Source organism: Homo sapiens, chromosome 14, assembly GCF_000001405.40.
Source record: "Homo sapiens chromosome 14, GRCh38.p14 Primary Assembly".
NCBI classification, from domain to species: Eukaryota; Metazoa; Chordata; class Mammalia; order Primates; family Hominidae; genus Homo; species Homo sapiens.
The window spans coordinates 89,367,478-89,391,159 of record NC_000014.9 but is presented as its reverse complement, the minus strand read 5'-3'; the positions used below and the strand labels follow the sequence as shown (position 1 = coordinate 89,391,159).

At 44.6% G+C, this 23,682-nt stretch overlaps 1 protein-coding gene across 2 annotated transcripts in view, besides 6 other annotated features; it reads left to right on the top strand.

Annotated features, from left to right (window-relative positions):
* Nucleotides 1-23,682, top strand: part of FOXN3 (forkhead box N3) — a 462,989-nt gene that overhangs the window by 228,006 nt on the left and 211,301 nt on the right. The window lies entirely within an intron of this gene.
* Nucleotides 4,508-4,607: an enhancer, noted in NCBI's record as "active region_8866". NCBI's record gives its function as "activates an Ori minimal core promoter by ATAC-STARR-seq in GM12878 lymphoblastoid cells {active_cell/tissue: GM12878}" and the evidence as "EXISTENCE:reporter gene assay evidence [ECO:0000049][PMID:35858748]".
* Nucleotides 4,988-5,037: an enhancer, noted in NCBI's record as "active region_8865". NCBI's record gives its function as "activates an Ori minimal core promoter by ATAC-STARR-seq in GM12878 lymphoblastoid cells {active_cell/tissue: GM12878}" and the evidence as "EXISTENCE:reporter gene assay evidence [ECO:0000049][PMID:35858748]".
* Nucleotides 5,088-5,157: an enhancer, noted in NCBI's record as "active region_8864". NCBI's record gives its function as "activates an Ori minimal core promoter by ATAC-STARR-seq in GM12878 lymphoblastoid cells {active_cell/tissue: GM12878}" and the evidence as "EXISTENCE:reporter gene assay evidence [ECO:0000049][PMID:35858748]".
* Nucleotides 6,829-7,028: an enhancer, noted in NCBI's record as "active region_8863". NCBI's record gives its function as "activates an Ori minimal core promoter by ATAC-STARR-seq in GM12878 lymphoblastoid cells {active_cell/tissue: GM12878}" and the evidence as "EXISTENCE:reporter gene assay evidence [ECO:0000049][PMID:35858748]".
* Nucleotides 7,039-7,208: an enhancer, noted in NCBI's record as "active region_8862". NCBI's record gives its function as "activates an Ori minimal core promoter by ATAC-STARR-seq in GM12878 lymphoblastoid cells {active_cell/tissue: GM12878}" and the evidence as "EXISTENCE:reporter gene assay evidence [ECO:0000049][PMID:35858748]".
* Nucleotides 7,269-7,388: an enhancer, noted in NCBI's record as "active region_8861". NCBI's record gives its function as "activates an Ori minimal core promoter by ATAC-STARR-seq in GM12878 lymphoblastoid cells {active_cell/tissue: GM12878}" and the evidence as "EXISTENCE:reporter gene assay evidence [ECO:0000049][PMID:35858748]".

The following is a 23,682-nucleotide window of genomic DNA, read 5'->3' as shown; positions in this document are numbered from 1 at the left end:
GCATTTGGACTGTTCCTTGGGTTCAAGGTGATTTTCTCTTACAAAGTTTTCACCCTCTGTAATTGGCCTCGGAAGACCACACATAAATAAGGAAAGACAGTTTTCTGTATGCCGGTCCTCTTCACCTCTGGACTGTGGTGGGCTGGATCTACCGTTAACCTTAGCAACTGGAGAAAGGAGTTTCTCGAGACACTGTCTGCCTACCCTGTCTTCGACTCATCTGTTCTGAGGCTTTGGGCTTCTCTCAGTGACCCTCTTTCCTAAATAATAAGTACAGGAACTGTGGGAGAAACTGGACTAAGTGTAAGTCTGAACTTGGCCTTAGAGAGGGTCTTAGTCCTGCAAGCTGCGGGGGCAGCTCTCACCCTCAGAACTTCAACCGAGGCACCTCTTACAGCATCTGCAGGGGAGGGCAAGGGACTCTCTGGAAGGGTTTCTGGAGATTTTGGTCATACGAGTAGATTCAATTACTTTGGAGCTTCCTTGGGCCATTTTTATTTTCTGTAATACCTGCTGTTTTATTTTGCTAGGCTTTCCCCCCTAGAATAAAGGCACATTCAATAATAAGAATTTTGTAGTAGCCACTACTAAATGATACTGCTCGTCAGTTTGAAGAAAAAGCTAATTGTCAGCTCTGTGTTGAGATTTCCTTTTTTTTTTTTTTTTTTTAAAAAGCAGCTTAGAGAAAATCCCTGAACATAGTCTCCTGATTGAAAAATACATTAGTGGATTTCACTGCTTTATCATTTTCTTAAAGTAATAGTTTTCCTTACTTAAAAAATTATATGTATTAAATTATATTATTTATACATATAAAATTATATAGATAATATTTATATATATATAGAGAGAGAGAGAGAGAGAGAAAGAGAACGAGAGAGATCTATTGAAACATATGGCTGAAAACATGCCCAGTGCATATTTTTTTTTTTTTTAAAGGGAGTCTCACTCTGTCATTTTAGCTGGAGTGCAGTGGCATGACCTTGGCTCACAGCAGCCTCAACGTCCCAGGCTCAAGCAATCCTCCCACCTCAGCCTCCCAAATAGCTAGGACTACAGGCTTGTGTCACTATGCCTGGCTAATTATTATTATTATTATTTTTGTAAAGATGAGGTCTCACTGTGTTGCCCAGGCTGGTCTCGAACTCCTGAGTGCATGTGATCTGCCCACCTCGGCCTCCCAAAGTGCTGGGATAGCAGGTGTGAGCCACTGTGCCTGGCCAGAATTTTTTTTTTTGTTTATAAAAGTGAAAAACAAGGATTTATTTTATGACATTTTGTAGTTGTAAAGAGCCTTATTGTTCCTTGAGTCCAGCCCTCTGCTGTGGGCCAAAGGACAGGAGTCACCTCTGACCCGGTAGGGTCATTTCTGTGAGATGACTGGTGGATTTGCTAAGATCGTATATTGATGCCCCCAAGCTACCCTTTGTATGGTGAATTTGGCCACCTACACATCAACAAGTGACTATTTCTAGCCATCCCACCGTGGCCTGCCAGCCAGCAGATCAATTTCACCAGTTTTTCCGTCTTTGTCTTTATAGCACGGTTTATTTGTGCAATCATTTGAATTGTTTATGTGCTTTGCCCTTGTTTTATTAAAATGAAAGTGACAAATTAAAAAGGTTAATAATAGGAGTTAGAAAGAGCGTAATTCTCCTAAACACATCAATTGAGAAAGAGGGAAATCAATTGGCGTGAATCTTTGGTCTTGATTGGGCGCTTGTGGGATCTACCGCTGTGAAGGGAAAGGATAGAATGAAAGGGTGTTCATGAAATGCTGTGAAGTAATTGTGGATGCTTGAGTCTGAGACATTAGGTATATTTAGAGATTTTATAATCTTTCTTTTTTTTTTGTTTTAAGTACTCTAAAAAAGGGAATAGTTCTTTATACCTAAGAGATGCACATTGTAACATGTAAGTTTTTTTCACTTTCATACATTTTACTTCCAAATTCGTTTGCAGGAAAGAATCAGAGATGGGAAAAAAGAGGAATTGTCCATAAAGACAAATTCCTCCCAAACGGGCCTGTAAGTTCCCCTCAGGCTGCAGCTCTCCCTGCTGGAGTCTGCCTGGATCAGCATTTCCTTTTCACAAGAGCAAGCACCCAGTCACCCAGTCTCCAAAATCAGCCCTTGTAGTATTTCCTGAATCTCTGAGTTCTCTTCCCAGAGCCTCAGATGGCCCAGTTTTCTGTTTCTGGATCACCCGACTTTGGTTTTCTGGGATCCCTTGCTGAACTCTGCCTGGTGTCACAGTGCGGGGCCTGTGCTCTGCTGGTGCTGTTGAGCCACTGGTAGCAGCCTCGTCTCCCACCCCTGGTGTCTGTGATCCATCCAGTTTCATCATGTCTTCCCTGCTCAAGGGCTTTTCTCTTGGCCTCTCTCATGCATCTTCTTCTTGATTTTCCTGCTTCTCATCAAGCTGGCACCTTATTTATCAGGGTCCAGCTTTAATGACACCCCTTCAGAGAGGTCTTCTCTGAGCCCTCCTGCTCGCCTTCCTGGCAACACTTAGCTCCAGGTGCATTTACACATTTATCTGTGACTTGTTCATCACGTGTCTCCTCTAAATGTAAGCTTCACAGTCAGTCTAACCCAGTGCTTGGGACAGCGCTGTGTGCAGGGGGCTCCAGAGGTTCTGCTGAGTAAGTCAATGGCGCATTCATTCTCCTGGCTTCCTAGGCGCTGACCCTGATAACTTGATAAGGGCAGAGCCAAGCTCTTGGGCCCTGTGGCCCACACCCAGCAGCATCCCACACCCTGCTTGCAGCGGCCCCACTCTTCCATCCCTGAGTTGCAGGTGCAGCGTTCACTGTCTCCAGGCTCTGTCCTGGTAGCCTGGGCACTGTCATTACTGTATCCTTTGCTCAGATGGCCTCAGTGATTGCTGCCATCCATGGAAGTGAGTTCTCATCTCCTCCCTGACTTTCCAGGCCCCATGGAGTGTGTGTTCGCCCATTTAGGCTATCTTCCCTCCAAGACGGAATCTTGTTCTGTTGCCCAGGCTGGAGTGCAATGTCGCAATCTCGGCTCACTGCAACCTCCACCTCCTGGGTTCAAGCGATTCTCCTGCCTCAGCCTCCCAAGGAGCTGGGACTACAGGTGCACGCCACCACGCCTAGGCTAATTTTTGTATTTTTAGTAGAGACAGAGTTTCATCATGTTGGCTAGGCTGGTCTTGAACTTGTGACCGCAGGTGATCCACCCACCTGGGCTGCCCCAAGTGCTGGGATTACAGGCATGAGCCACTGTGCCCAGCCCCATTTAGCCACCTTATTTCATGTTGCTTCTCTGTAGTGTGCCGCTGCTAGACGCAGGTGGGTGCCTGCCCTGCCCTGCAGAATTCACCTTGCATGGTGCACATGGTTCATGCTGGCTTTACCTGCTCCTCCTCCCTCTTCTTTCTGTATACCCCAGACCAACTCTGTCCTAAGGGCTCCGTTTAAAGCCCATTTCCTTAATGGAATCTACTCCTGATCTTATTAATCTCTCTCTCTCTCTGGCCCTTGGCAGTTATAGTCTGTCTATGTAGTTTATAATAAACTTTATAATAAAGTCTGTCATCTAATGAAATAAGGAGCAGAGCAGATGAGTTTCAGGAGGGTGGAAGTTGGAGTCAGAGAGACCTAGGGCTGAATCTTTGTTTTACGACTTGCTAGCTGTGTGTCCTTCAGCAAGGTAATTACTGTTAATGAGCTTTACGTTCTCATCTCTGATATGAGAGGATAATGCCTTTCTCACATGGCTGTTTAAAGATTAAATAATGATAATACAACTCCTGGAATATAGTACACACTCAGTAAATATTATACTGACGGTCATTTCCTTCATGTTGGTGCTATAGATTGAATTGTGTCTCCCCCCTAATTGGTTGGTTTGTTTATTGATTGATTGATTGATTGATTGAGACAGAATTTTGCTCTGTCTCCCAAGCTAAAGTGCAGTGGCACGATCTCGGCTTACTGCAACCTTCGCCTTCTGGGTTCAAGTGATTCTTGTGCCTCAGCCTCCCGAGTAGCTGAGACTACAGGTACACCACCACATCTGGCTAATTTTTTGTATTTTTAGTAGAGATGGGGTTTCACCATGTTGGCCAGGCTGGTCTTGAACTCCTGACCTCAAGTGATCCACCTGCCTCGGCCTCCCAAAGTGCTGGGATTACAGGCGTGAGCCACCATGCCTGGCACCCCCCAATTTATATGTTGAAGCGCAAACCCTCAATGTGGAGCTAATTAAGGTTGAGACCATACGGATGGGGTCCTAATCTGATTGGATTGGTGGCCTTATAAGAGGAGGAAGAGAGATCACTCTATTCATGCACGCACACCAAGGGCAGTCCCCATGAGCACACAGTGAGAAGGCAGCCGTCTTCTCACGAAGAGAGTCCTTACCAGGAACTGAAGCTGCTGGCACTTTGACCTTGGACTTCCCAGACTCCAGAACTGTGAAAAAGTAACTTCTGTTGTATGAGCCACGCAGTCTGTGGTATTTTGTTCTGGTAGTCTGAGCTGACTAATAGAGTGTGCTTTGGCTCTAATTAGATGATGATTTGTTGAGCTGGCATTGATTGAGCCCTTGTTAGGTGTTGGGCACTATCTTACTTAACCTGACCTGTCTAATCTCTCAATTCTCAAAACCACTTTAGAAGTTGGTTAAGTTACTTGCTAAGTTCCCCTAGCCTAGTAGTGCCAGGATTAGAACTATGACTTCACGTTGCAGCCCTGTGAAATGGCACCTCCTGCAGTTGTGCAGGGCAGGCCTCTGCGGCTGTCCGTGGACGACCTTGACAGATGGGAGACCACATGTGTGTCCCTGACTCCAGTGCTCCTGCTTTCACTAGAGAGCAGATGACACACTCCTCGATGTCAGGGGAGTTGCCTTATATTTCATTTCTGGTGGCACTTAGCAAGTGCTCTGTGCACAGGAAGCAATTAAAAAATAATTTTTGGTTGGTTAATTTTCCCCAAACACTTAGCTCCTCCTACATCTGGAGAAAGAGTGAAATTTTCACCCACCCTCCCGAGCTCCCCCGTGTGCATCCTCTGAGCTGTTTGCTGTCAGCGAAGGCATTTGCGTGTCAAACCTACCCATAAACTTGCTGAGTTGACAAAAGCAAAGAGAGATCAAGTTTTCAGTTGTTGGAGAGTAGAACCGTTGTGAGTCTGAATCTGCAATTCTTTTATTCTCTCAGTGAGTAGAAGTGAGTCTTTGTGAGGATGGCCTTCAGCCAGTATCTTGACACCTCAGTTACGTAAGTAGTTCTCATCTTGTTCTCCTCTTTTGCTTTTTTCTCCCTCTCATGTACACTCACAGTAAGAGGCCTGAGAGAACGTTAGCCAACTCCTTGTTTTTTGAGACAGAGTTTCACTTTTGTTGCCCAGGCTGGAATGCAATGGCATGATCTTGGCTCACCACAGCCTCCGCGTCCTGGGTTCAAGCAATTCTCCTGCCTCAGCCTCCCAGGTAGCTGGGATTACAGGCATGTGCCACCATGCCTGGCTAATTTTGTATTTTTAGTAGAGACAGGGTTTCTCCATGTTGGTCAGGCTGGCCTTGAACTCCCGACCTCAGGTGATCCATCTGCCTCTGCCTCCCAAACTGCTGGGATTACAGGCGTGAACCATGGCACCCAGCCCTCCTTTTTTTTTTTTTTTTTTTTTTAAATGTTTGCCTCAGCTTTTGTTATTCAGAGAGAAATTGGTCTCATCTGCCTCAGGACACGGATGGCTTTACCTATAATTAATTAAGCCTTTTCCTCTCTGAAGTTGATGGGTTTGGACTTTTGAAAAAGATGGGCCATGTGGCATCTTAACTTAGGCTCAAGGTGATAGGGTTATAGATTTTAGACCTCCCGGACCCTCTCTATAGATATTGGCCAATATTCTTTATTAGCATGTTTATGTAGGTATTAGCCAGTATTCTTTATTGGCACATTTATAATTTATACCCCACTTCCTTTTCATAGGGCTTGCCATAAGACATATAGGTCACAATCAGGTCGCTAAGGTAAAAATTGAAAATAGACAAATGCAGTAGAGAGAGGGGAAAGCAAATATTCCAAATTCTTGACCTAATATATTTGTTGTGATTGAGTGCCTGACAGCCAAGGCAAAAATGGAAACTCGGCAGATTCCATAATTCTCCTTCCCTGGTAAGATGCCGACTTAGGGGAGAGACATAATCTCCAGGTGCAAGTTTATAAAAAGATTTCATTGTAAGGCTGTTTCTCCATGGGATATAAAACCATGTAATTTACAACACGTACAGCAACCTTAGCTCCAGTTCAGAGAGCCATCAAGGCTGTTGTTCCTGCCATTAGTCATGACCTTATCCTTCTCTGCCCCTAGCTAAGGCCTGTTCATCCTGTAGACTTTGACAGCCATCATCGCCTCCAAGAAGTCTGCCATGATTCTCCCTGCTCAGGCTGGGTCATGTCCCTCTTCTCAGTGGAACCATAAGACAGGGCTTATTTTTATCTCTGCATCTCTGTATTGCTTTATATATATATTTTTACAACTAGATGAGGTATTCCTAGGACTCATTCCTGGTATTGTGGTAGGTGTGGGGCTGATGTTTGTTGAAGAAAGGAAGTTTTTTTTAATCTAGATTACAAAAACAGTTTTCCAAGTGGATGAAACCATGTTATATGAATGAAAGTCATTAGTTGTTTTTTAGTGTCTGCCCATAGTAAGTAGCTTGTCTGTGACTCAGAATTGTATGTTCCTGGTACGTATTAGAAGAGCTGGTTGTCAGATGCAGACTCAGGAGACTTGGGTTCTGGTCCTGATTCTTCCACTAAGTAGAACTATCACTTCAGCATTTCACAGGCTTAGTTTCTATATCTGCAAAGTGAGCACAGTGAAGCAGGCTGGTGGGCGCAGAGGTGAGGAGTTGATCTCCTCTCCCACATGCCACGCCCAGGGCAGCCATCCATCGCTGGCCACAGCTGTCATCCTCAGCTGCTTCTGTGAGCACCATTCTCAGAAGCCACCACCAGTCCCTTGGGGCTGGCATCAGAGAAGAAGTCTGTTTAACATCTGTGGAAAAGGTTACCTTTGAGGTTCTTTCAGCTCTAATGATTGTAGCATATCCCCTGATGTTCTCTGTTATCACTGTAGTGGGCTGAAATGTCCCCCCCCACCAAATTCATGTCCACCTGGAGTCTTATTTAGTGACCTAATTATTTTAAAATAGCATTTTTTTTTTAGCTGGGCATGGTGGTGGGCACCTGTAATTCCAGCTACTCGGGAGGCCGAGGCACAAAAATTGCTTGAACCTGGGAGGCAGAGTTTGCAGTCAGCTGAGATCGCACCATTGCACTCCACCCTGGGCGACAGAGCAAGACTCTTCTCAAAAAAAAAAATGAATACATAAAAATAAAAATAGGGTTTTTGCAGATGTAATTGGTTAAGATGAGGTCAGAATGGATTTGAGTGGGCTCTGAAGTCATTGACTAGCGTCCCTTACGAGGAGAGGAGAGGAGAGGAAAGGAAACAGATACGTGGGGAAGATGACACAGGAAGAGACTGGACCAATGCAGGGGTGAGCCAGGGAGTGCCAAGATCGGCCGGGGGCCGCCAGAAGCCAGGAGGAGGCAAGGAAGGATGTTCCCCAGGTCCTGTCGGCTCCTTGATTTCACACTTCTGGTCTGTGAGAGAATTTCTGTTGATTTAAGCCACCAAGTTTGTGTTAATTTGTGATGGCAGCTCTGGGAAACTATTGAAAGTAATGGCAAAAACTGCAATTATTTTTGCACCAACCTAATTTGGTGCAATACACTCACCTCTGATTTTTGTCGTCATTTTGCCTGCTCTATCAGGCTAGTGTGTCCCTCTTCATGTCTGCCTGGAGAAGCCTCATGCATTGGAAGATGTCTTTTTTGCCGTGTCACATGTGGTAGAACCTGACATTTCTCTGCCTGTTCGTGAACATTTAGACATTGATAAAAGCTCATTTTCCCAATTAATAGATGAAAGCATATGAATTACTTTATATTTTTGAGGGACATATGTTTAGTTCAGACTCCCTGAGGTCTTATTCAAATTATCAAAAAACCTGGCTACCGCAGTGTAATTCACAGATGGTACTGACTCTAGCCAAAAAAGGAAAAAAAAAAAAAAAAAAAAAAAAACACCACCCAAAACTGTGCTCCAAACACAAAACTGCTTGAGTGTTCTGAGCAATAGAGTATCGAGGGAATGGTGTTGGGTGGATCCCTGCTGGGGAGCCTCCTGCTACTGCTTCTCCCGTCTTGGACCCAGGAGGGCACTTCCTCCAGCTGGGGAGTTTCTTCACCGTCCCTTTCACGTACATGTCATCATCAAGGAGACCTCCAAGCTTTTGTCTGTGTTTTCTGTGCCTCAAACACCATCCCCTCTTTGCCAAGCGGTTTCATATGTTATCTAAAGAGCTCAACACTCTGTAAAGTGGCAATGATTGTTCCATTTTATGGATGAGGAAACTGAGGGTCAGAGAGGCAATTAGGTAACCGATCACAGGTGACACAGCTAGGAAGGAGCAGAACAGAATCTGAACTCAGATCCTTCCTATTCCCAAACCCACGTGCTTCCTGCCCCACCTGAAAGGGCATTTGTGGGTGGGGTAGGGACAGTGGCTTGAGCCAATGCAGATGAGTATAGATGCATTTGGAGAGAAAACTTGTAGAAGTGGAGAACATGAGGGAACAGAGATGGGTTGGCATAAGAGAAGGCCAGAAAGATAGGAAGGTGCCATGTTGGGAAGGGCTTGACTTTCAGGCTTGGAAGTGAGGGTGTTTTGTGTCTCTACTGGGGAACATTTGAAGGCTTGGAGCACGGAGAGGCATGGAGTGTGGGAGTGGGATTTGAAGTATAATGAAGTAGAGTGATGGGTCAGCGGTCCAGCCGGGTTATAATGAAGGATGGAATTAGGTTGGCAGCAAGGTGTACACTTGGTGACACCAGACCTACTGTCACAGAGGTAGAACCCACAGGCTCTGATGATAGCTGTGGGGGTCATAGGGTAGGCAGACAAGGAAGGGAAGTAAGAATCTAGGTTTAAGTCTGCTTAGAGGCGAGGGGAATAGGGAGGAGAATGGATTTGGTCTGACAAGCAGTGGGGCAAGGTGATGAATGGGTTGTGGTCTGGCCATGATGGACTCAAGGGGCCAAAGGGTCATCTAGAGAGGATAATCAATTGACAGGCAGATGTGTGGGCTGCAGACACACCAGGTCAAGCTTAGGAGTAGTTGAGAGGATCAAGCAAAGGGCCTGGGGCATTGCCGCCCCTCCCTCCGTCCCTCCCTTTCCCCTTCCCTTCCCCTCCCCTCCCCTCCTTCTCTGTTGCCCAGGCTGGAGTATAGTGGCATGATCACAGCTCAGTGCAGCCTTGAACTCCTGGACTCCAGAGATCCTCCCATCTCAGCCTCCTGAGTAGCTGGGACCACAGGTGCGCACCATCACACCTGGCTAATTTTTTTAATTTTTTCATAGAGATGGGGTCTTCTATGTTGCACAGTCTGTTCTCAAACTGCTGGGCTCAGGTGATGTTCCTACCTCTGCCTCCCTAAGTGTTGGGATTACAGGTGGGAGCCAGCACACTTGGCCTGTACCTTCACTTAAGCAAACCTTTTTTTTTTTTTTTTTTTTTTGCTTTTTGAGGCTTTTTTTGGGCTGCAGGTGCAGGGCCTAGCCAGACTTGGCAGCACACTTTACATGGCCAGGATGTCGGGCAATGTTAGAATTAGTTGGAGAGGGCTCTTATGGTTATGTCACCAGATGTTGGAAAGGCTTTAGTTATAAAATTAAAAACAAACCTATCATCTGTGTGATTTTGTAGGCCTCGGGGTTCGAGGTATCCTGTGAGTCACCCAAGGAATCCTGGGAGTACATAGTCCACAGTAGACAATTATTATTGCTATTTGTCAATAATATCTGAAGATGACTGTTACCTTTGTGGTGATTTATCTTAGAAGGAGGCTTTTCTCCTGTGTTTGCTGAGTTTGATTTGAGTCTTTTTTTTTTTTTTTTTTTTTTTTGAGACGGAGGGAGTCTCACTCTGTTGCCCAGGCTGGAGTGCAATGGCATGATCTTGGCTCACTGCAATCGCTGCTTCCTGGGTTCAGGTGATTCTCGTGCCTCAGCCTCCTGAGTAGCTGGGATTATGGGCACACGCCACCACACCTGGCTACTTTTTGTATTTTTAGTGGAGATGGGGTTTCATCATGTTGGTGAGGCTGGTTTTGAAACCTTGACCTCAAGTGATCCATCCGCCTCAGCCTCCCAAAATGCTGGGATTATAGGCATGAGCCACCACGCCTGGCCTGACCACACCTGGCCTGATTTGAGTCTTAACATGTAGAGCTCTGGGCATCTCAGGACTGGTTTTGCCCCTTGTCCACAGGGGAAGCATCTTCAGTAGTGATTCTAAATGTGACTTAGAAAACTGCCCATGGTCTGTGAGGCTGACAGTGTCATTGCCTCCGCTCTTTATAGGACGGGGTTGTGGGCACCCTGGTGCGTGGCCTCAGCATGCTGAGTGAGAAGCAGGTGATTGCTGATACGACTTATAAGGGGTGTGGTTCCAGTCGCCTTCATGCTGGGCGCACAGACGGGCACGGTGTACGGGCTCACTGGACTGCATGGTCAACATGGAGGTCTTTCTGAGTTGTGCAAAATGTTCTTCTCAGGAAGCTTGACTGCTGTTTGATGTTAACATGATTGAGGAGTTTAGGCTTGACTAAAGTCCTTTGGTATCCCTGTGAAATAGGACTTTGTGTTAGTACATTCTCACACTGCAAATAAAGACATACCTGAGACTGGGTAATTTATAAAGGAAAGAGGTTTAATGGACTCACAATTCTGCGTGGCTTGGGTGGCCTCACAATCATGGCAGAAGATGAATGAGGAGCAAAGGCATGTCTTACATGGTGGCTGGCAAAGAGAGAACTTGTGCAGGGGAACTCCCATTTATAAAACTGTCAGATCTTGTGAGACATATTCACTATCACAGAACAGTACGTGCCCCTATGATTCAATTACTTCCCCCCGGGTCCCTCCCCCGACATGTGGGAATTATGGGAACTACAATTCCAGATGAGATTTGGATGGGGACGCAGCTAAATCATATCAGACTTTAACAAGGAACAGACCTTAGTCATCTGCAAGTAGTGAAGTCAGTGGTATGGGAAAAGGTACTGTTATTCTGCGTTTGAATTGAGCTTGGCCAGGCACAGTGGCTCACGCCTGTCACCCTAGCACTTTGGGAGGCTGAGGCAGGTGGATCACTTGAGGTCAGGAGTTTGAGACCAGCCTGGCCAATGTGGTGAAACTCTGTCCCTACTAAAAATAAAAAAATTAGCTAGACATGGTGGTGGGCACCTATAATCCCAGCTACTCGGGAGGCTGAGGCAGGAGAATCCCTTGAACCTGGTGGTGGGGAGGGAGGGCGGAGGTTGCAGTGAGCTGAGATTGTGCCACTTCACTCCAGCCTGGGCGAAAGAGCGAAACTCATCTCAATAATAATAATGAAAAATAAAAATAAAACAAAACAAAATAAAATAAAATGAATTGAGCTTATATTTTGGGATTCCCTTTCTGCCAAAGCTGAGTAGTTCTTCATGCTCTGGAGCAGTGGTTCTTAACTGAAGGTGATTTTGCTCCCCAGGGCACACTTGCCAAGGTCTGGAGTTGGTTGTGAGATTGTCGGGGGAGCGGTCTACTGCATCCAGTAGGTAGAGGCCATTGATGCTGCTCAGTGTCCTACAATACACAGGACAGCTCCCACACAGCAAAGAATTACCCGGCCGCAAATACCAATAGGGCTGAGATTGAGAAACCACGGTCTAGAATCCAGCAAAATCTTTCGATCTTCACCACTGTCGACTGGGGAGGGCTCAGCACAACTCATGAAGCCATGGGTTTCAGCACAGCCAGGGAAGGTCCCCGAGTGAAGGTCAGATGGGGAGAGGCCTGCATGGCTGGCACCGAGGAGACACAGCCAGACCAGTAGCTGCATGCTCTTGGGCAAGCTCTTCCCGTCTGAGTTTAGTTTCCTTAAATGCCAAGTGAAGAAAGCCAGCCAGGGTATCACGAAAACCCTTTCTAGAACTCATATTCCAAGATTCTGGCCCTGACCCTCTATTCTCATAACCTGGGCATGATTCAAGAAATGTGTGAGCCAGGCACAGTGGCTCATGCATGTAATCCCACCCCTTTGGGAGGCCAAGGCAGGTGGATCACTTGAGGTCCAGGGATTGAGACCAGCCTGCCCAACATGGTGAAACCCTGTCTCTACTAAAAATACAAAAATTAGCTGGACGTGGTGGTGTGTGCCTGTAATCCCAGGTACTCGGGAGGCTAAGGCAGGAGAATCACTTGAACCTGGGAGGCAGAGGTTGCAGTGAGCTGAGGTTGCACCACTCACTCCAGCTTGGGCTGCAGAGCGTGAGACTCTGTCTCAAAAAAAAAAAAAAAAAGTGCAAAAAGAGATTCAATGTGACCTCATTTTCCCTGCCTTTCTCCTTTCTTCCTAGTTTTTATTTGCATTTTTTTTGTTCCAAAAGGGAGAAAATGCACACAGTTAAAGAAATATTTAAATTGTCCCCTCTTATCATGATAAGCCTGAGAATGTTTCTTTTATGTCAAGGAGAAATGACTTTAATATATATTTGAAACGTTTCTGCTCAGCGATGAAAAATCCAATGTCAGATCACTTACAGCAGGCAGACTTGGGCGTTTTAAGCATCTCTCCCAGGATATCATCCAGGCAGCAAGGGCTGTCCCCAGACCTGTCTGGCTCTGAGAGAAGGAGTCCTGTGGGTGCACGAGAGAGAGCCTGTGATTCCAGCATGTCTGGGTATTCCCCAGCTGATGGTGCAGACATGACATCATCCTGAGTAGCTATCTTAGCTCCCACCCCCTACATGCACACTCACGTACTATCCTGGGAGCTCTTGATTTTCTGTATCAATGAATGGATAATATGCACAAGGTAGCAAAAGCTGTTCTTCCTTTTGGATTAGGGGAACCATCTTTCTCCTTTTGCTGGAAATCTTCCCTATCATGATGTTACTGTGCTAGTGCAGACATAACAAAGTACCACAGCCTGGTTGGCTTAATAAAAGGAATTTATTTTCTCACAGTTCTGGATGTTGGAAGTCCAAGATCAAGGTGTCAGCAGGGTTGGTTTCTTGCAGGCCTCTCTTCTTGGCTTGCAGACGGCCGCCTTCCCCACATGTCTTCCACATGGTCTTCTCTGTGTATGTCTGTGTCCAAACCTCTTCTTAGAAGGACACCAGTCATAGTGGATTAGGGGTCACCCTAATGACTTCATTTTCCCAATTACTTGTTTAAGACCCTGTGTTAAAATAGAGCCACATTCTGAGGTACTCGGGGCCAGGGCTTCAACACGTGAATTGGTTTCAACATACGAGTTGTGCAGTTCATTTTGTAACACCTGTGGAGATGGGTAGAGGGCAGGTTCTCTCTGCAATAAGGTTTTACAGATGGTCATTTATCTTCTGCTTCTTTCTTTTCCCTTCTTATTTTTTACTGTGAGAAAATTCAAACATGCAGAAAAGTTGCAAGAATAGCAATGAGTAATTGTTAACATGTTGTTGTATTTGCCTCCTCTTTATGTGTAGATTATATGAACTGATGAAAACAAAGTTTTAGGCATCATGGCACCTCACCTGTAAACTTTTCAGCATGAAGCTCAGAACAAAGACATCCTTTTCTATAACCCCACGCTATTGTCACACCTAAGAAAGTTTCAAATAATTCAGTTCGATGTCTGTCATCTAGTCCATATTCAGATTTCTCCAGTTGTCCACTAAGACCTTTATTTATTTATTTATTTATTTATTTATTTTTTACCAGCATCCAGTGAAGATGTGGGCACTGCTGTTGGTTTTTATATCTCTTTAATCTCTTTAGTCTGGAATGATCTTCCCATTTTCCTCTCCCCCTCTGATGACACCGACTTTTTTTCTTTTTTCTGAGACAGTCAAGGCCAGTTGTTTTGTGGAATGCCCACATCCTGAATTTGATGGATTATTTCCTTGTGGTGTCTTTCACCTTGCCTTGTGTCCCATGGAAGTCAGATCCAAATGCTTATGTAGGCTCAAGCTTTTTTTTTTTTTTTTTTTTTTTTTTTTTTTTTTGAGACAGAGTCTTGATCTTTTGCTCAGGCCGGAGTGCAATGGTGCAGTCTCGGCTCACTGCAATCTCTGCCTCCCGGGTTCAAGAATCAAGCAAGTCTCCTGCCTCAGCCTCCTGAGTAGCTGGGATTACAGGCGCCTGCCACCATACCCACCTAATTTTTGTATTTTTAGTAGAGACGGGGTTTCACCATGTTGGCCAGGCTGGTGTTGAACTCCTGACCTCAGGTGATCTACCCGCTTCAGCCTCCCAAAGTGCTAGGATTATAGGTGTGAGCCACTGCACCCGGCAGCTCAAGCTTATTTAAACAATTGCCAGGCAATGCTGGGTGCTTCTTAAACCATTATGTCTCACCAGGTTGTCCACTGTTAGTGACGCTAAGTCTGATCAGCGGCCAAGGGTGGTCATGCTGATCTCTCCATTGGAAGGTGTGTTTTTGGCAATGAGCACATAGCCTACGGAGAGATACTTGGGCACTGTGTGCATAACCATTGATGATTCTTGCCTGAATTATTTTACCGAAAGTTGCAAAATGGTGATTTTTCTAATTCTATCATTAGTTGATATTCCTGAAAAGGAACTATAATGACCAATTTTTACAAAAAAGAGTTGGTGTAATAATCGCCTCTAATGGTGGCAAATAAATATCTGTCTGTGACTATCACTATGGACTCATGGGTTTTTATTTAGTCAGTTGTTTTATAATCAATTATAATAATTGTTTTGATGCTCAAATTATCCTAAATTTGGCCATTGAGGCCCTTTAAGCTGCTTCTTTTGTCCTTTGAACATACTCCTTTTAGTCTTTAAGTACTTTCTTGCACAAAAAAAAGTTCTGGACTCATCTTACACTTTTCATATCCAGACATGAGATCATCCATTTCTCCAAAAAGCCCTGATTCCTTTCAGTGGAGAATGGTATTTAAAAACTGAAACTGGAGGCCAGGTGTGGTGGCTCACGCCTGTAATCCCAGCACTTTGGGAGGCTGAGGCAGGTGGATCATTTGAGGTCAGGAGTTTGAGACCAGCCTGGCCAACATGGTGAAATCCTGTCTCTACTAAAAATACAAAAAAATTAGCCAGGCATGGTGGCAGGCACCTGTAATCTCAGCTACTTGGGAGGCTGAGGCAGGAGAATTGCTTGAATCTGGGGGGCTGGGGGCAGAGGGAGGTTGCAGTGAGTCAAGATTGCGCCATTGCATCCCAGCCTGGGCAACGAGAGCAAAACTCTGTCTCAAAAAAAATAAAATAAAATAAGATAAACCGAAACTGGACACTGGGTGTATTCATTATAGCTGGGGTATTATTATTTTCATGAATTTATATTGCTATTGCCAATTCACATTTAATGTTACTGAGTTTTTTCTTAGCAATCTTTGATTTTGTATTTATATCTCTTTGCTTGGTTCTTAATACTATTAATGTTGTGAACACATTTATTTGCTTTATTCTATAATGTGCATAAAATAGTTTCAAAATTATACTGTCTTGCTATTAGTAATACATGTCTGGCTGAAACAATATTTCTTTGTAGTTCAATTTCATCTGTAGTATATGGATGTACATCTACTAGGATACATAATCAGTATTGAATTAAAATGTGGTATGAAAGAGTTTTTTTTCTGGTGAGGTTATGTTGCAAACTTGCTTTTTTAGTTAGGTTATTTTGTGTACTTCTTAAAAAAATTTAAATTTGTGGTTTGCTTTTTTAAAAAAAACTTCATTGAGGCATAATTTACATATAATAACAACATATACTTGACGATGAACAGAGGGATTAGTGAAAAATAATATACCCATTGAAAGTATTTTGACTAATATGTACATACCTCTGTAACCACCATTACTGTCAGGATATAGAACAGTTTCATCATGAAAAGTTTTCCTTCAGTTCCTTTGTAGTCAAGTCAATCTCCTACCCCTCCACCAAAACCCTCAGGCAGCCACAGAAGTGGTGTGACCACTTTCTGTCCCTGTAGATTAGTTTTTTTCTAGAATTTCGTATTAATGCAATCATAACATAGTACTTTTTTTTTTTTTTTTTCTGAGACGGAGTCTCACTCTGTCACTCAGGCTGGAGTGCAATGGTGTGATCTCAGCTCCCTGCAATCTCCACCTCCTGTATTCAAGCGATTCCCCTGCCTCAGCCTCCTGAGTAGCTGGGATTACAGGCGTGCGCCACCACACCTGGCTAATTTTTTTTTTTTGTATTTATAGTAGACATGGGGTTTCACCATGTTGGTCAGGCTGGTCTCGAACTCTTAACCTTGTGATCTGCGTGCCTCAGCCTCCCAAAGTGCTGGGATTACAGGCATGAGCCACCACGCCCGGCAAGAATAGTATACTTTTATGTCTAACTTCTTTTACTCTGCATAATGTTTTTGAGAATCATACATGTTGTGTGTATCAGTAAGGAGTTCATTCCTTTTTATTGTTGAGTAGTATTCCATTTTATGAACATACCATAATTTGTCTGTCTAGTGGCCCTCTGATGGGTTTTGTATTATTTCTAGTTTTTGGATGTTATGAATAAAGCTGCTCTAAACATTCTTTTACAAGTCTTTATGTGGATATGTGAGCTCGTTTCTCTTGAAGAAATACCCAGGAGTGGGATTGGTGGGTCATACAAGTATGTGTATAACTTTATAAGAAATTGTCCAACTGTTTTTCAAAGTGGTTGTACTAGTTCACATTCTTTTCTCTTTTTCTTTTTCTTTTCCTTTCCTTCCTTCTTTTTTTTTTTTTTTTTTTTTTTTTTTGAGACAAGGTCTCACTCTGTTGCCCTGGCTGGAGTGCAGTGGCACAGTCATGGCTCACTGCAGCCTCGACATTCTGGGCTCAGGTGATCCTCCCACCTCAGCCTCCTAAATAGCTGGGACCACAGGCGCACACCATCATGCCGTTAATTTTTGTATTTTTTCTAGAGATGAGGTTTCCTCGTGTTGCCCAGACTGATCTTGAACTCCTGGGTTCAAGCAATCCTCCTGCATCGGCCTCCCAAAATGCTGGCATTACAGGCATGAGCCACCACCCCTGGCCCTAGTTTACATTCTTACTATTTGTGAATGTTTGCTTGCTTGCTTCACAATCTGAACAGCACTTTGTATTGTCAGTGTTCTCATTTTTGCCATTCCAGTGGTATGTAGTTGTATCTTATTTTAATTTGTATTACTTACCTTTGACTTAATTTTTAGTTTGAATAGTAAAACTTTTACTAGTTCCAAAGACAAAAATCTCTTAAAAAGTATATGTAGTGACCTATCAAACTTTTACTTTCCTCAATCCTACTATTAAAGGTGTGGTTTAGATGACTGGAGAATTTATTAAGCACCTACTGTGTGCCAGGCACTGTGTTAGGCCCTGGGTCATGAGCAAACACAGAGACAGCCCCTAACTTCATAGAGCTAACGTATTAGTTAGAGGGCATAGACATTAGTCACAACCTCACAAATAAATGTAAAATGGTCACTGCTTTGTGCTGTATGGGAAAGCTACAGAAAAGAGTTAAGGCTGCTGTTACCTGGATCTCATCATTGGTCTCCCCCCACCCCCACCCCAAAAAGACTTTCTGCTTACGTGCTCCCTCTCTTAATACTTGTTGCAAAATACTTCCTCTGAAATGCTATAACTCCAGGACCTGTAGCAACAGGCCAAAACCCTGGGAAGGTAACCAGCACCCCACTATAGAACTCAGGTCTTGGAAAGCTGTGATAGCTTTCACTTGATCATTTGGCCTTAGATGAAGAAGTCTTACAGACTTGTTCCTTATAGAACCCTGATTGAAACACGCTTTCAGTGTCTTTAAAAATATATTGGTAACACATGGTTTACATTTAATTGTTTTTTTTCTTTTTTTTGAGACAGGGTCCCGCTCTGTTGCCCAGGTCAGAGTGCAGTGGTGCAGTCATGGCTCACTGTAGCCTCGAATTCTTGGGCTTGAGTGATCATCCCACTTCAGTCTCCTGAGTAGCTGGGACCACAGGCCTGCGTCACGACACCCAGCTAGTTTTTAAATTTTTGGTAGAGATGGGATTTTCCTATGTTGCTCAGGCTGGTCTCGAACTCCTGGGCTCAAGCGATCCTTCCGCCTTGGCCTAAGCGCTGGAATTACAGGTGTGAGCCACTGCACCAGCCTACATTTAACTTGTTGAAAGCCATTTTAAATTTTATTTTTAACATTGTGATATTGACCTGGATTTGAATAGTTCCCTCAGCGATTAAAGAGTATCAGTGCATATTGTTATTAGTGTGGTGTTTTTTGTTTTATATCTTGTAGGTTTGCTGGAGATTTTTTTTTTTTTTACCCCATGAGACAGCGCATAGTTTTTAAATTTGAAACTTTGGTTCCTGTTTTAATTTCCTGTGGGTTACCCTGACCTAGTAAATAACAACAGTGGTCTTCAGGATGAGGTTGACTGTTAAGTCTTAAACTCTTGGAAAGTTTGGTTGTATGGTGCTCTTGTTACAATAAATGAATTCCTGTTATAATAAATGTAGTTAATATCAACTCTATATAGTGGCTCAGGTAAGATTTTGTTTCAGTCAGCTGTTGTCAAATTGGAAGCCTCACTGACACTGTTGTCCTATTTGCAATTTTTATGTGCGTTTAGACTGACTCTGAAACATAATAGTAACCATTGATGATGCACTTACAAGGAATTCTACAGAGAATATTTTTAGTAATACCATACTTTTCTAATACTGTAATCGAGTTTTCATGTTTCAAAGCTTACTGTGCTTTTTAGGAAGATGAATTCTGTTTTTTCAAGTTTTGCAGGATAGTAAATTATTATGGTAGTTTCGGTGGCATATTTTTTTTTCCTGCCTGATTGCTATCCTTTATGACTTGGGGAAATTGCAGGGGAATTATTATGTACATACTGTGGCATGTAGATTCCAAGAATGAAATTCTGGGATAATCAATTCCGTTTTTTATTTTGTCAGTCACGGTCCTGGCAGAAGACAGATGGCACACTCAGAAAGAAGAAACTGTGGGGAGAGGATGAGTTCTCAGTGGTAGGCAGGGATGCGAGAAACTAGCAAAGCCGGGGGTGCACTCCCCCAGGATGAGGATGGCAGGCTACCCCCAGGGAACTTCCATCCCCCCGGGACCTGAACGGGTGAAGGAGAAGAGCAGATAATAGATGCCAGAGGAGAAAGTAGCTGGGCTAATGGGTGTCTGGTGGGGGTCATGGTCTTTGATAGCAGGGTGCAGCTCACTCACTGCAGCCCAGCACAGAGGGAGTCAGGGGGTTAACTTTCTTATCCTCACTCTCCTCCTCCCCTCTCTGCTTGCTCTGGTGCCTCCCTTTGGTGGAGCTTGGTGGAAGTCCATGAGCAGGGGAGCCTGTAGATGCATCCATAAATGTCAGTCTCCTGGGGCTAGGAGCAGGCAGGAGGAGGCTAAAGAGGTGCTCTGCGGGGCAGGTGGAATATATCCAGCACACGTACATAATATAGACTGGGGAGAGGACCAACAGCTGTTGCAGCAGTTCCCATGTGCCTTGAATATCTAGTAGATTTGTGTGCTTAATGCCGGGCACACAAGATGAATGAGGCTTCTGGTGGCCAAGTGGGTCATGATGGGAGGTTTTCTTGGATTGTTGGTTGGTTTAATATCTAAGGATCTTTCTTTAATTAAAAAGCCTAAACAGAACCCCAGACTCTTCTCGGTTGTATTCTGATAGTCTTTATTTTCAAGCACTTGATAGTTACTTTCCCATCATTGGAAGAGGGTACAAAATCAGAAGAGATCCCTCCCAAAGTTAAGAGCCCCCACCTTCCTCCCCGGGCCACTTTCGGGCAGGAAGAGGACAGAGCTGGCCTTTCTGATCAGTGAGCCTCTTCGCAGCCTCTCTGACCCTGGTGACTCTTGGGTGCTACTGTTCAGATTGACTCAGGCTTCAGTGATCAGAGTGAACCCTTAAAAAAAATAAAATCAAAACTTTGTAAGAAAGCTGCTTACCATTCAAGAATAAGCAAGCCGTGAGTTGTCCCTAGGACTGCCACATAGGGAAAGACAGTGGTGCTGAAATAGACGCACGGTTTTGTTGTTGTGTTGGGGAACCGCTGCACTGCTGGAAAACTCAAAGTACTTTCCTTTCTGTTGCCTTAAAAGGTTGATAACAGTGCCTTCTGTGTACTTACAAGTTTCATTATGTACTTAAAGGGGGTAACCACCAGAAATGAAGTTACGTCCTCACTGGGGTAGATGGACCCTACGGGCCATGCAGACCCTATCCGGAGTTGAGTGTAATTTACGGCTCTGTGTGTTTTGCCAAACAAATCCAGTGTAGATAATTCCAGAAGAATGACACTGGGCTCTAGCTTTCTCTCATTCATTTTGGAACATGCGCATCAAACCAAAGTTCTTTCTCTGCTTATTCCCTTTAAACATTTCTAAAGTAGCACACACTTTGAAGAACCTGCTTCTTGCCAAGTGAATTCAGAAACCTTGGCTTCCGCTTGCTGGGGAGACTGTCAGCATGGGCACAGATGTGCATGAGTTTCCCACTCTTTGGGATTCTGTGTGTTTTGGTACAGCCCTTTGTGCAGCCGTGGGAACCCTCTGAACCATCCCAACCTATTTGAAAATATTTCTAGAGGGCTGAATTTTGTCATGGGGGCAACCCCAAAGACCCAGGTTTGAAGCCTGGCTCTGCCTCTTGCTGCCTCTTGCTGGTTGTGATCTTGGGAAAGCCTGTGTCCTTTCAGAGACCATTTTTGTAGCTATAAATGGCTTTAATAATCTCAAATTCCTTCACTGAGTTATTTAGGGCCACCTGAGATATTTGATCACTCTTTGAAATGTGGTGTACAAACAGATGATTTTTTTTCTGCATATGTGGTCACATGCCAGCAGCACAAATACAAAGTTGTAATAAAGACAATAGTGACTTTGACTTTCATTCTTAGCTGAAATGAATAATTAAAGAAAACGTGTGTGCACACACAGTATTAGAAAGCATTTTTGTGACACTGCTGTTCAAGGATGTACATTTTAGTGCAGTTGGATAATCCAAAATTATTTGTGATTTGACTTGGAAGTGATACAGTTTTTGTTGCAGCTATGCAGTGGTGTTTATCAATTCCAGAATCAAGCTGCCTGCATTTCACCTTAGACAAATTCGTTAACTTGTCTGAACTTTACTTTCTGATACGGTTTGACTCTGTGTCCCCACCCAAATCTCATGTTGAATCGTAGCTCCCATAATTCCCACGTGTTGTGGGGAGGGACCTAGGGGGAGGTAATTGAATCATAAGGACAGGTCTTTCCTGTGTTGTTCTCATGATAGTGAACAAGTCTTATGAGATCTGATGGGTTTGTAAAGGGGAGTTTCCCTACACAAGCTCTCTCATTCTCTCTTGTTCTCTGCCATGTAAGACATGCCTTTTGCCTTCCACCATGATTGTGAGGCCTCCCCAGCCATGTGGAATTGTGAGTCCATTAAACCTCTTTTTTAAAAAAAAAAAAAATTACCCAGTCTTGGGTATGTCCTTGTCAGCAGCATGAGAATGGACTAATAACCTTTCCTTATCTGTAGGATCATAACATATACTATCTCTCTTCTAGATTTGTTGGTAGAATTAAGTGAAATAAATAATGTACGTAAAATGTTTTGGCTGGTGCTTGGCACATGGTCGGTTGTAAGTTAATATGAATAGTTACTACTGCCAGTGCTGCTGTTGCTGCTACTATCACTGCTACTAAAGATGTTTGTGTGTACTCTAAGTTCCAAGCTGGACTGACACTTAGGCCAGGTGACTCAGCAGTATAATGAGTGAGTTAAAAATTTCTTATGTATAAAGTCTCCACAGATAATCAAAAGCTGGCTGTTTTTGGAAATCCTAATCAATAATTGAAGCACGGTCTGAGAGTGTGGTTGGGAAGTATCCATGTGTGTTCCTGGATAACGCATCAAGCTTCTCTGCCTCTCCCCTCCCCCAGGAAGATTGGTAGAGTGGCTCTAGGAGTCTTTCCTGAGGCCCAGCTCAGGACTCATGACATGGTGGCCAGAGGGCACTTCGGCATTGTCAGATGAAACGCACTGTGTAAAGTGTTTGTTCAGCCAGGGATCTTTTCCCCTATGCTTCCTAATCAAGTAACTCTTAACCCCTGGCGGAGTTTCTCTCCCATAGCCCTCTCGTTGGCTATCACGTCAGTTATTAATTAACTGGATGAGCTTTGGGTTGACTCTCAGGAGGACTGTTCTGTGCCCCAGGTTGCAGTGAGTTCTCAGCTGAGCTGAGAAGGCTTTAGAAACAGGTATGCTATCCCAGCTGCCCCTGTGACCCTGTGTAAATCTTCTAGGTCACTGTAGTAGCTGAGGTGAATACCTTAGTGACTGGGGTTCAGGTTTGTCTTTTGTTTGCGTTTGAAACAGGGTCTCACTCTGTCACCCAAGCCGGAGTGCAGTGGCACAATCATGGCTCACTGCAGCCTTGACCTCCCTGGGCTCAGGTGATCCTCCCATCTCAGCCTCCTGAGTAGCTGGGACTACAGGCGTGTACCACCAGGCCTGGCTAATTTTTTCGCATTTTTTCTAGAGATTGGGTTTCACTATGTTGCCCAGGCTGGTCTTGAACTCCTGGGCTCAAGTGATCTTTCCTCCTTGGCCTCCCAAAGTGCTGGGATTATAGGTATGAGCCACTGTGCCTGGCCAGGGATTCGGTGTTCTTTTTTTTTTTTTTTGAGACAGAGTTTCACTCTTTTTATCCAGGCTGGAGTGCAATGGGGTGATCTTGGTTCACTGCAACCTCCGCCTCCTGGGTTCAAGCGATTCTTCTGCCTCAGCCTCCCAAGTAGCTGGGATTGTAGGCATGTGCCACCATGCCTGGCTAATTTTGTATTTTTTTAGTAGAGACGGGGTTTCACCATGTTGGTCAGGCTGGTCTCGAACTCCTGACCTCAAGTGATTCACCCGCCTCGGCCTCCCAAAGTGTTGGGATTACAGGTGTGAGCCACTGTGCCCGGCCTGGGATTCGTTTTGATAGCAGAACTCAGCAGTTTCTGAGGTAGACACACACCTGCCGAGGTCAGCAGCTCCTACCTTTTGATCTCACAGGAACATAATTGGTGAGGAGCATGGGATGCTGGGATTGAGGAAGATACGATGCTTGGGTTGAGTCATTTACCTTTTAAATTCTCTACCATAGGCCTCTGGGAGACGAGGGGAGGGTTTCTGGGGCAGGAGGCCGGCTTGCTGAGCCCTGGCTCTCTGGACAGCCACTGGGACAGATAGCTCAGGCATCAGTGCCTTTTCCACGTGGTTGCTGCCACTGTTCCCAGGGGCCAGGTCAGTTGGTCTTTCTGGGTAGATTCTGTTTGTTTAATTTTTTCCTCCATCCCCCTACCCGTGAATCACAGTGTGAATTTATCCCCTGCGTCCAACCCCCGTTCTGTCTCCCTGACCCTGTGTTCCCGCTGGAGCACTGGTCTGGCAGCCTCTTACCTGCAGTTTTCCCTGGCACCCCTGTCCTCTCCCTGGCAACCTCGGGCATATCCTCTGGTTCCCGGGTGCTTTGTCCATATCTTACCCAGCGCT